Source organism: Homo sapiens, chromosome 14 (genome assembly GCF_000001405.40).
Source record: "Homo sapiens chromosome 14, GRCh38.p14 Primary Assembly".
Classification (NCBI taxonomy): domain Eukaryota; kingdom Metazoa; phylum Chordata; class Mammalia; order Primates; family Hominidae; genus Homo; species Homo sapiens.
Window position 1 is genome coordinate 68,502,347 of NC_000014.9, and position 12,110 is coordinate 68,514,456.

General features: G+C 48.6%; 1 protein-coding gene across 8 annotated transcripts in view, besides 6 other annotated features; it reads left to right on the forward strand.

Annotated features, from left to right (window-relative positions):
- The window catches only part of RAD51B (RAD51 paralog B), an 863,318-nt gene that overhangs the window by 682,568 nt on the left and 168,640 nt on the right, over positions 1–12,110 (forward strand). The window lies entirely within an intron of this gene.
- Positions 3,052–3,615: an enhancer, noted in NCBI's record as "H3K27ac-H3K4me1 hESC enhancer chr14:68972115-68972678 (GRCh37/hg19 assembly coordinates)". NCBI's record gives its function as "activates a minimal SCP1, AML or CMV promoter by ChIP-STARR-seq in primed H9 embryonic stem cells {active_cell/tissue: H9 hESC(primed)}" and the evidence as "EXISTENCE:reporter gene assay evidence [ECO:0000049][PMID:30033119]".
- Positions 3,052–3,643: a biological region, named in NCBI's record as "H3K27ac-H3K4me1 hESC enhancer GRCh37_chr14:68972115-68972678".
- Positions 3,584–3,643: an enhancer, noted in NCBI's record as "active region_8610". NCBI's record gives its function as "activates an Ori minimal core promoter by ATAC-STARR-seq in GM12878 lymphoblastoid cells {active_cell/tissue: GM12878}" and the evidence as "EXISTENCE:reporter gene assay evidence [ECO:0000049][PMID:35858748]".
- Positions 3,616–4,179: an enhancer, noted in NCBI's record as "H3K27ac-H3K4me1 hESC enhancer chr14:68972679-68973242 (GRCh37/hg19 assembly coordinates)". NCBI's record gives its function as "activates a minimal SCP1, AML or CMV promoter by ChIP-STARR-seq in primed H9 embryonic stem cells {active_cell/tissue: H9 hESC(primed)}" and the evidence as "EXISTENCE:reporter gene assay evidence [ECO:0000049][PMID:30033119]".
- Positions 4,180–4,743: an enhancer, noted in NCBI's record as "H3K27ac-H3K4me1 hESC enhancer chr14:68973243-68973806 (GRCh37/hg19 assembly coordinates)". NCBI's record gives its function as "activates a minimal SCP1, AML or CMV promoter by ChIP-STARR-seq in primed H9 embryonic stem cells {active_cell/tissue: H9 hESC(primed)}" and the evidence as "EXISTENCE:reporter gene assay evidence [ECO:0000049][PMID:30033119]".
- Positions 7,341–10,320: an enhancer, noted in NCBI's record as "VISTA enhancer hs1616". NCBI's record gives its function as "enhancer in: limb[6/11] | branchial arch[7/11] | nose[9/11] | facial mesenchyme[9/11]" and the evidence as "EXISTENCE:transgenic organism evidence [ECO:0001131][PMID:17130149]".

Genomic DNA, 12,110 nt, shown 5'->3' on the forward strand with positions numbered 1-12,110 from the left:
AGCCTGCTGCAGAAGGGAGGGGGGCGCACAGCTGCAGTTCCGACTCCCCCCACGGGCCGCCCGGGACTTTCTGAAGGCAACAGGGCTGCCTTTGCAGGGCCCTGTGGGAAAACCCAACACAGATGCACATTGCAGCCAAACCCCCAAGCACTGCTGGGAGAGGGAAAAATAAACCCCTCAATAGTCCTGAAAAGAAAAGGGAGGGAATCAAAGCACACAAAAAATGCAAAGACCACCCACCTGATGAGTGCCTACCTTTCGGAAACAAATAACTCCTGGCTTCCAAGGCGCACTTCTAAAAGAACAGACGGACTGAACACTGCCTCAAAGCTGCATGCACCAGGGGATTTGTGGGAAGCTGTGGCCCCTTCTAAGCATCGGAAGCTTAATTTAAAGTGTGTTGGCCTCTGCGGTGCCTATTCAAGGGCTCCCTTGCATCCGCTGTCCTCCCTGGGAACCTGGGAGACAAGAATCCTCATTTAGAAAAGGACAGGATCCTGTGTGGACTCCTTTATCGTGGTTCTCTCAGACAGGACAGCCATATCTGCCAGGGAACATTCTAGGGGGCATCTTTCAGGCTAGATCCAGGGTGATGTGGGCCCCTGCGAGGGCATCTTGGAAGGCTGTGTTGGTTCTGCCTGGACTGGTCCCTCTGGGACAGCCTCAGCCTACCCTGCCTGGCCTCACCCCTCCTCCCTCTGACCTGAAGCTCCTTTGGAGGACTGACACTTCATGGAGCCTGCAGTTTGATCTTTTCTGAAGTGGAGACAACAAAGCAAAGCCACTTCCACTGTGTGCTCTCTCAAAAGAATAGGAAAGCTCTTCTCTCCTCCTTGGGAATGGATTTGGAGGGAGGGTGGAGGGCGTAATGATGGGGAGGCCTTGGAGGTATTTTGGTGGAGGAGGGTGTGTGTGGAGGAAATGAGCCGCCCAGGAGCATGGGAGAAATTGACATGAGAACATTTCAGAAGCACTGGTTTAACCGGCTGACATTCTTTCCAAAATGGATGGACAAGCCTTTAGGAGTAGACAGAGGGCCTCAGGGAGGAGAAACAGCTGAGGAGGAGGCATCTCCCTTCCCCCTCCTCCAGAGGCTGATGCTACAGAGAAGGCGGCAAGGCCTCACTGAGCGCCTACCCACCACTCACTAGATTTCTATCTTTTTATTACCTTACCCTGGGAGATGAATGGGGTTATCTCCATTTTCCAGGTGACAAACAGAGATTCAGAGAGGTGACGAGAGGCTCTCCAAGGACCCATATGGAAGTGTCAGCTGGAATTCAACCCTCAGGCAGCCTGGCTCCAAAGTTCACAACCTTTCCTACTTGTTTCAGCCCTGCCCTGCCTTTCAGGGCTAAGAAGATGTTAGTAGATGTTCCATAAATATTTATTAAATTGAACTGAACTCAGCAGCTGAACACACGCAGGCCTCTTCCACCCTGACCAAGAGGAATCCTTTGAGGGTCTGCAGTATGGAAAGAAATTCTCTGAGGCGCTAAATAAAATCCTGCTCTGAGGTGCAAGGAGGACTTTTTTGAAATTAATAGCTAACAAAGTTTATGCAGACCCCAAAAGGAAAAACAGAAAGGAATTGGAATCATTTTAAAAACAGAGTCGGTAGATAATAAAACTTCACGGTGGTGGTGTTGTCTTTCATCAAGAAGCACGAAGTGCTCACAGGCTTTAATTACATCTTCATCCCTACGGCCCCTTCTGAAGTCGGTAGATGCACGTTAATAGTACCTTTCGTTTTAGGCATGGACACATTCCGGTACCAGAAGCTTTAGCAATTCTCCCCAAGGCAAGCAGAGTACAGAGCTGGATCGGGGCGCAATGACTCTCCAGGCCAGCATCCCATGCTACCTCCAGTTGTATTTCCTGACTCCGCAGCTGAAACCAAGGACTTCATTGACATATTTAGGGGTAGGGGGATCTGAAGGTCTAGGAAAGAAGGTGGGCAAAACCAAGGAATCAGGCCTCCACTTTGGCCTGCACACCATATAAATCCCCTCTTTGTTCACCCATATGCACATTCTTTAATTTAGGCATGGTTTCCATTTGTGTACATCAATGAGTTTGCTCAGTCACAAGGGTGCCGAAGCCTGAGCTGGACCACTCACTTTAGGTAATGCCACAGCAGACAATCAGTGCCTCTGATCATGAAGACTGGAGAAATGTGTCTGGGCTGGGCCCATGCATGATGCTTGGGAGGGAAACTCTCCCAGTGGACTCTGCGACTGGGATGTGGAAGCTCAGACAGCTAGAGATGGGAAAGGAAACTTAAATTGCAAAGGAGTAATCCTTTTTTTTTCTTTCTTTTTTTTTTTTTTTTTTTTTTTTTGCTAGTTCATTTTCAATCATTCATTTCCTGGCTTAAAAAATAATTAATAGTAATAATCGCATATGGCTTTTTAATGGCTCTCCATTGCCAAATACTATTTAAGCACAAATTTCTTCACTAGACACTGGAGCCCAATCTACACACTTGATGGTGTGGCTCCATCTGGGACCCCAGTCTCATTTCTTGTTCTTAATTTCTGTACAGTTATTCCTAATTTGTGAACTGCAGACCTGCAAGAGGCCAGGGCGTTTCAGCAAGGGGTCCATAACTCTTAGTGCCACACCAAACATGGGCAGCAGCTGAAATCCATAGTATGTAAAACTCAGGCGAATTTGAAAGGCCGTTAAATTCCTAGCAGCTCTTTGTCATTACGTGTTTTCTTGGGTACGAAGTTTGACAATTGTTACAAGAAGGGGCCTGCATTGTGATAACAGTTTTCAACCTGGGATCCAAGGAACCCCACGGAGATTCCCTGAAGTATAGATGGAGGGAGCACGAGGATGGAGCAGGAGCAGATGGGGACACCCCATGCCCGCACACACACAGCTAATTCATCCCTGTAACCAGAGAGACTGTTTTGATCAGTTTTGTACACTGGGCTTTCTAGTAAGATTTTATTTGAAGAAAGGACTCTGCCACAGAGGTGAGTGGGGTAGTTTGCAAGCAATGGCTGCAGACAAAGTACATGTATTTCTAGCCAGTCCCTTGCCACAGTTCAGTGGGGCACAGTGAGAAATCTGTCAGCTGCCCGCTCTGTCCAGATCCACACAGTAAGAACTCTGGGTTTGTTAGTGTCTTAGATGCATTAAGTCCCATCTGGCTCTTAGAAATAACAAATGAACTTGTAGATTAGCCAATCTTTTTTTTTTTTTTTTTTTTTTGAGACGGAGTCTCGCTCCGTTGCCCAGGCTGGAGGGCAGTGGCATGATCTCGGCTCACTGCAACCTCTACCTCTCTGGTTCAAGCAATTCCCCTGCCTCAGCCTCCCGAGTAGCTGGGATTACAGGCATGCACCACCATGCCTGGCCAACTTTTTTGTATTTTTAATAGAGATGGGGTTTCACCATGTTGGCCAGACTGGTCTCGAACTCCCAACCTCAGGAAATCCGCCCGCCTCGGCCTCCCAAAGTGTTGGGATTACAGGCGTGAGCGACCGCGCCCAGCCAGATTAGCCAATCTTATTGTCAGTGCAAAGACAGTATCCACTTTGCATATGTACTGCTGAGGGAATCATTAGAACATTCACTGCTGCTGAGGGTCAGGTGGGGAATTCTTTATATACCAGCTTTTCTTGTGGGCCAAAATCCCTAGAGGGATAGTGGCCACTTGGGGTCCATTTTTATCTCCTTCAGTTTCTACCCAAATGTGTCTTTGCTTATGTGGCTGGGGCCTGCCACTCAGGCTTTCAGGACACAGTGTGCCCCCAGGCAGCCTGGGCCTAGAACAGTTGTAGTAATAAGAGGTGACAAAGCAGGACCTTGAGACAGAACTTCCAGAAATTCTTTAGCTGAGCCTCCGTCCTCCCAGCCAGGTTTCAGACAGGATGACACATAAAGAAATCTCTGAACAATCCAGAGCAGTGCACATTAGCGAGTGAAGCTCAGGCAGGAAATGGGAAGGAATGCCTTTGTCTCTGCTTTCCACCCTGCCACCCATAGCTCATTCTCAAAAGCCACCTCCCCAACACTCAGGCTCGGGGTAAATGCTACAAAACGTGGTGGAAACCTCTCACGACCTCCTCTCTGTTGCATGAACGCCTGTTAGAGGCGAAGGAAAACAATGGCAAACAGACCCAGGCCTGTCACAGCTGTACTGGGGCCAGCTGGAATGTGGCTGTGCGTGCGCGTGCATGTGTGCGTGCACGCCGGTGCACACGTGGGAATATAAACATCCTTGGCTCCCCAGCTCCTGTGTGCTGGATCGTGCTGAGTGGGCGCAAAGTTCTGCATGTGTCCGAGGCAGGGAGGGGCAGCACCAGCACACCTAGGCGCTCTCATTTATACATTGAAAGGCGGGTGGGGGGGACAAAGGAGAAGGTTTGGGAATGGCTGGCTGTGTGCCCGTGTATGTATGGGCACATCTCATTGTTGATATGTCTTGGGGGAAATTGAGGGAAATTTTGTGCTTGGGTATGTGTGCACACATGGTAGGCGCCCACACTCAAGTGTGCAGAGGGGGAAGCTGAAAGAAAGTTTCGAGATTCTGTGAACATTCTCAGTTAGAAAAAAATCTGGCAACTCCCCATACCACAGGTGGGTACACATTCAATGCTTGTGAAGTTCATTTCCTGTACTAGTTACCAGCCCTTGTTTATACAGGACACAAGATGTGCTTGGTAGCAAAAGCTCTAGGTCTCCGGGGTGAGTTGAGGGAGAGTGTGTATGTGGAGGGGGTGGGGAGGGAGTGTGGGCATCACCGCACAGGTGCTCTTGAAGTACACATGAAATCAATTTTCAATATTAATCCATAATTCCACTCATATATGTTCAGAGGGGAGAGAAAGTAGAGCTCTAATTTTAGAATGACCCCCTCCTTCATTGCTCCAGTGCTGTTTTAGCACCCAATCTGCTCGGGCCAGTGGCAGCTCGGGTGTCCTCGTGTGTGTTTATGGGTTTGAAACGCATCTGGCTTGTTCTTCTTTGAGCTTTACTTTGTGAGCCCAGCCCCAGGAAGTGTTTATGAGCTTTTTCACTTTGCTTTATTCTGGCTCAGCTTTGTTTGGTAGCACAGAAGGGTAGAGTTTGACATAAATACTCTGTTCTTTGTGTGAGGGCTTCAGATTGCAGAGGGTCCTAGGACTGGCATTCCATAGGAAAGTTGAGGAGTTTGACCCAACCCCATGATCACACACCTGTAAGCGAACATTCTGCACACCTCAATATGAGAAGAAACTGCACTCTCTAAACAAACTCCTGGGCACGTGACCTCCTCAGAGTCTACTTGCCAGTTTGTTCATCCAGATGGTGACCAGCTCACAATAGACACTCAGTGACTGCTAATTAACCATGGAATATTCCATTCCACTGCATTACCAAAGTGCCAGCATCACTCCTCAGCATAGCTCAGGACCTTGTCCAATCAGCTGTCTTGAACACCCACTTTGATCCACGGTTCACGTTCATGTTATAGTCATGAGCCCCTGCTCCTCCGCCAGTCTAGACTCAAGGAAGCAGTGGCACAAATCTCCTGGCTGTTGGGTTCCATGGAGCAGAGAGCCTGAACCCACCCGGAAACCAAGTCTAGACAAAACAGAGCTTTGAGGTTTACACCCACAACCTTTGTACCGTCGGAAGCAGAGGGTGCCAGGGGATCCACTACACGCTCCCTGGGAAGCAGAAGCCAGAGGTGTCGTGCTATTTCTCCATCTGGCCAAGGGTTTAACCCTGCTGAAGACTATTTCTGAGGGGAGTCTCCATGATGAGGGGACCCAAAGATGCTGATGGGGTCATTTCCCAGGCTCTGTTCTGGTCCAGTGCAGGGCTCCAGTTGTTGATGGTGATGGAAGTTTGCTTTATACTTGGTCCCTGCTTGGTTGGAGTCCTCTGCCACCCTCTGGCAATTCACAACATCTAGTCACTTGGAGACCTCTGAACAATAGCAGGACTCTAAAGACTGGGACCCATGGCTCCTCAGTGAATTCTGAAACTGCTTTGAGGTGCTGCCTAAAGTTCAAGGAGAAGCTTACCAAGGAACGGGGACCTGGGGACAGCAATGGAAATAGAGACAGTGAGGTACAGGCCACTCGCTATCCTTTGTAGGAACTTTCAGCTCCTGTTAGCTAGAGACCGTTGCAGAGTCAACATTCTACGCAAGCCAGCGTGGCACCCTGCTTGTCTATGATTCTATTCAAGGCCCAGACATAACCAGCCTTCATGGGCTTCCAGACCACTGAGATTGCAGCCTGGGGTGACCTCCTACCCTGTCTGGAAGGGTCTCCACCCCAGGCCTGGTCCTGCAGGAAATGGTTCCCGTGGGGAGAACTCCTACTGCTCCAAGGCAGCAGCTTCCTTGGTGTCATCAGTTTACCTGCCAGTCTCATCTCTGAGAGGGTACCAGTTTCTTTGGCTTCCCCGCCTGTCCCCAGAATGATTCCAACACTTTTTTAGCCCCTGAAAGCCTTGGAAGGGTGCCCACTTGCATTTCTAGTGAATAGCATTTCCACTGGAGGCCCTTCACCCAGGGTTCCCTACAAAGGGGTTTGCTTTTAGGGAAGGGCAAGGTGACCCTGCTTTGTCCTCCTGAAGCACCACTTGTGGCTCTCCATCACTGTGCCTGCCATGCAATCATAATCCTCCCCTTTCTGTCTCTGCCCCGCTAGCCTAGAAGTGCCTGAAGGCAAGAGCTGTCTTAGAGGCACACTGGGAAAATAGGGGGCCCTGGGTCCTGATTGAGTGAGGGCCCAGCTAGGGCCAGAGGGCCTGGGCTCACCAGCCACTGGGCCTGGATAAAGGTGGTTTTCAAGGGGTGAGTGTAGTCTGGCCTGTCTGATTCTCATCCCCACTCTCTGATAGTGCTATGTTTTTCACCTTGAAAATGAAGACATACTACCCTGAGCCCTTCACTGGGTTGTCAAGTGGTCGTGTGGCACACGTAAGGGAGCATTGCCATGTTAAAGCTCCCCAGCTCCCTTCATTATGGCCATCCCATGGACAGAGGACCATGCTGTGACTCAGAGGCCCAGCTCTTCCTAGCTGTGCTGTTCCCTGAGTGAACTTCAGTGAGTTGCTTTATCTCAGTGACTCTGTTTCATCTGTGAAATGGGACTGTCGGGTTGTCAGGGCAAGTACTTGGAACCTTCACTGAGTGGTATGGTTGTGGGCATTCCTTCTTATTGTCATTGCTTAAATAAGCATGAAGATACTTTCCTGAAGAATGATGTTTGGAAGGAAGGAACCTAGACTTTGGTATGGGGTGGGAATGGAGTAAATCCTAAATCCATCCCTTGTTAACAGGCTTGTAAGTGGAATTCTTGCCTAGCGAGATCTAGGATAGTTCTCTAGCTCAGGAGTCAGCAAATGTTTACTGTAAAGGGGCAGATAGTGACTATTTTTGGCCTTGCAGGCCACAGGGTCTCTACCACAACTGCAAGGCAGCCATGGACAATACATAAACAAATGGACATGGCCTTGTTCCAGGAGGACTTTATTTACATCGGGCTGCAGGCCGGATTTGACCAGTCGGCCATGGTTTGCTTACCCCTGCTTTAGCTTATGGGGGGTGCCCCGCAAGCACTTGGGAAATTAATTTGTTGAAGATAGGTGAGTAGAGGCCTCTGATAGTCCAGATCCTCGGTTTTAGCTCTGTTTACACAGGACCAGGTTCTGTGTTCTTGCCACTGAGTCACAGCTGCAAGACCCTCACCTCCCCCTAGCCCCACTCCCCCAGCTTTGAGTGATCCCAGGCTCCTTCAAGCCCACTGCTGAGTGGGGAGCAGTTTCTGTGCCTTCCAGGATCTGTCTCCCCTACTGCCACTCCCCATCCAGGGCTTTTTCCCTCCATCCTGAGTTTGTGGGACACACAATTTGTAATCTCCTTAAAACTGAAGAAGTGAGGTCTCTGATTCATGCAGATTAAAATCAGCTGCAACCTATTAATGGCCCAGGGCCCAAGACAGATTTTAGGAAACAAAAACACTGGACCAAATTAGACTGAGCCGGCCTCTGTCTCCAGGGAAGGGAGGTAGAGTAGGAGGCTGGGGGCGGGGGAGTGGCCATGTGGTTTTCATTACTTTGGATTCTCTTCCTGAAGCGAAGTCACCCAACACAAAGTGTATGGAGCGCCAAGGCAGCGGCCAGCCTCTGGAGCCCGGCTCTCCCTGGTAGAAGCCCTGGGTCCTGTTGGGGGGCTCTGGCTGGTTGTGTGTCTGTAATTAACAGGTTTCAAAGTGGTTATTTTGGAAAAGAGAATTTCAGTGGCGCGTCAAAATCCTTTCATCAGCCATCAGCTGCCGTCCCGAGGCCTTCAGCAAGGCCTGAGCCACTTAAGGCTTCTGAGAGCTTTAAATTCCCAGGGTCCTGTTTGAGAATGTGGAGGCTTTTGCCATGGGTTTTATTGGGCTGATGGTTGCCATGATTTTCATTATGTTATTTGGTTCCTGGGATCATAAAAATGTTTGCCTCTTCCTATAGTACCTAGGATCATTGAAAAGAAAAGGGATAAAAAAGCCCCTGCATTTGTAGCTGCTACATAGCATACAAACCATGGCTTCCTTGAGGGAAAAGGGCCAGCTCTGGCTCTGGGCTAGGGAAAATCATCAAACTGGAAGGGACAGGACAAGCAGCCACACCCAGTCTCCACCTCCCTCCCATCCAAGGACACTGAGGCCCAGAGAGATGCTCATCTAAAGCTGGTCTGGAATCCTGGTCCCACTCTCGGTCAGGTGCTCTTTCTCTCCCTGGTGACTTGAGGCTGTGAGTAGAGTTGGGAAAGGTAAAGGAGTCTGAATTCTGCTGAACTAGTGCTTTGGGACACCTCTAGGAGTGGAAGAAATGGTCAGATTTACAGGCAGCATAAAGTGAAATGCTGAAGTGGACAGAGGAATGATCCGGGCCAGCCTGGGCATTCTCATGGCCTACAGGACAGAGCGCTTCTCTGAGGCTGGAAGGGTTACTGCAGCCTTCACTTGGCACCCACAGCCCTGAGACATGGAAAGAAGGGAAACAGGTACCAAATCCCACAAGCCTCAGAGATGATTTCTCACTGCTTTGAATATGAAACCTCTGAAATCTGGTCAAGCTCCCAGAATCACCCTAGGGGGTGACAGGAATTTTGGTTAAGCCCGTATTATCTGATAAGTGGAACACTAACCTGGCTTTACTTCCTATTTTGATGATGGCTACCTTCCAGAACCTTCTTTCATGGAAAACATGAAAAATATTCTGGGAGAATTGCTATTAAATAACCTCTGCTGTTTAAAAACAAGGCCAGACCAGCAGACCTTGCTCTCAGCAGGACACATGTAAGAACTAGTCTACAATAAAGAAGCTATTAAGGCGTGTTCAGAGAATTAGAGAGTGTTGGAGCTGAGAGGGAAATTGGAGTTCAGCTAGGCCAGGCTTTCATTTTACAGATAGGGAAACTGAGGCCTCAGGGCATATCCAAAGTGATCTAGGGGGCATAGGGAGTCCAGGATTTGCTTGACTATCTCATTCTTCACAAGGCCACTGTTCCCCTTTTGGGTTGATATTGTAATTCATTCATTCATTCATTCATTCATTCAGTTTTTACTACCTCCTATGTGTCAGATGCTTCTAGGCACTGCTAATTTTGTTTCTTTGAAGTTTCTAGAGGTGGAATAAAACAGACACATTTCTGTGGACTACATTAAAGAAGGAAAGGACTTTTCCCCCCAAAATCTAGGTTTGGGGAAAGTCTGGTGACTTTTGTGAGCCTGGGGCATCTTTGGGAAACGCCTGCCCTCTTGAGTGTGCCTTTCAGATGAGTGCGAAATATCATTGTCAGATAAAGGGGTGACTTGCCTAGGCTGCCCCCACTTGCAGTGACCCCCACTCCCAACAGCCACCTGGCAGTGTGGCCCAAAGGAATCTGGAAGTGAACATCAGCAGAGATTCTCTGGATCCAAATTTGAGTGAGGGCTGGCGGGAACCCAGACTAGCTGGAGGCTGCAGATTGCATGGGTCTCTCCGTCTGTTTCTCATCATTCTCCTCCTACGGTTTGCTTGTCAGTCCTTTGCTCTTGTTTACCTCTATGTGGATAATTCCTCGATTATAAATCAGAGAACTTGGCACTGAGTTCTGGATTATCTGTGATCTTTAACTTTCCCAGGGCAAAAGAAATTAAACCAGCAAATCTCTTTGTTTCTCATGGTTCAGCATCCAAATCATGGAAGTGCGGGTCTGTGTAGAGTGAGACAGCCTAAGCCCACCTCTGCCCTGGCCCCCACACTCTAGGTGAGCAGTCATGCATGCATGCATTCATTTATTCACTCAACAAATATTCAGTGAGCACCCATGTGGCAGCCTCTCTTCTAGAAACTGGAGATACAGGGTTAAAAAAAGGACACTGTTCCTTCTTACCCTGTTTGCATCTTAGTATGGATGACAGTAAGCAAACAAACCAACAAACATACATACTAGTGATAAATGCCTTGAGAAAGGAAGCAGGTTAAGAGATGGCAGTGAGGGGTGCACTATTTTACACACAGTGGGGTCAGGAAGACCTCTCTGAAGAGGTGACATTTGAGCAGAGATTGGATGAAGAGAGAGTAAGCAATGTTCAATCCAGAAAGAACATTTCAAGCAGAAGGAATAGCAAGTGCAAAGGCCTGGAATAGGAACAAGTGTGATGTGTTTGGGGAACAGTAAGGAAGCCAGAGACTGGAGTAGAGTGAAAAAAGGGGACAACTGTGATACATTAGGTCAGAGCAGTGGGCAGGGGCCAGCCATGGAAGTGGTGACTTTGGGTTTTGTTCTGAGCTTCACAGGATGTCCTTGGAGGTTTTGGAGGAGAGTGATGCAGCAAAGATGAACATTCAGAGGCTATAGAGAGGCTCATGGAACAACAATGGGCCAGCTTGGGTTAAACACTGGCATTCAGACACATGGCAATGGTAGCTGCACCTCATGGGTGGTGCTTCCAGTGGGAACTGTTGAGAGCTACATGTTTCGACAGGGTGAGGCTGGGCCTGGGAGCTCACTACCTCTACCAATTAGTGTTAAGCCCAGAAAAAGGAAATGCTGCAGTTTAAATTGTAGGGTTGGAACCTGTGAGTCATATAAGCCCCAGCCAAATGGGCCATGGTGGGCTCTGGGAAGTTACTGGTGCAGGGTCTGAAGCCCCCAGCTGGGCTGTTTGGCCACCCATGGGGGCTTCCAGACACATTCGGAAGAAGCAGACTCAAATACAGACCCCACCTTTGGGGTCTGGCTTTATTTTTGGCTGACTGTATACTGTCTGGTCAGTTTCCTTCCCAGTGTCTTTTACTTTGGAAAAGGCAGGCCACCTCACAGGGGAGCAGAGAGAAAGGGGGAAACACATGGATTTGGGGCTCAATCAGCCCCACAACACAACCCTCACCTCATCACTTCGCTGGCTTTTGGAAAAGCTACTGAACCTCCCAGAGCTGCCAGCCACATGTGGCTGTTCACATTTAAATCAATTTAAGTGAAATAAAATTTTAAAATTTTGTTCCTCAGTTTCACTTACCACATTTCAAGGGCTGAATAGCAACATGGGGCTTGTGGCTATCTATTGGACGTGAGATGTAGAAGATTTCCCTTATGGCAGGAAGCTCTGTTGAACAGTTTCATTTCTTTAAAAAGGAAGCAATCCACGAGAACTGAACAAGTTAACACACACAAAGCACAAGGTGTTTGCCTGTCTCACTACAGGTGCTCAGCAAACGGTGGTCACTGTGATTGATCATGTGAATCTCCATCCTCGCTCTGCTACTGACTAGCTATGTGGCAAGTCATTCAACGTCTCTGAGCCTCTGTTTTCTGATATGTAAAATGGGAATAAAAATTACCGCGGAGCACATTTCCACAGCATAACATGATCCTTTTTTTCTTAGTTCTCTCTGGACCCATGAGAACTTCCTTACCAACCCTCAGCTGACCTATCTAGACCAGAGCTTGGAAACTCCAGTCTTGCAGCACTTAGCAGGAAGCAGGACCTACTGTGGCCCAATAATGCAGTCTGGAGATTTTGGCCATTTTGAAGGGTTTGACCATGGCTAGTGGTATGGAGTTCCAATGAAACAAGTGGACAAATCTGATCAAGAAAAATAATCATTTGACTCAAATCAGA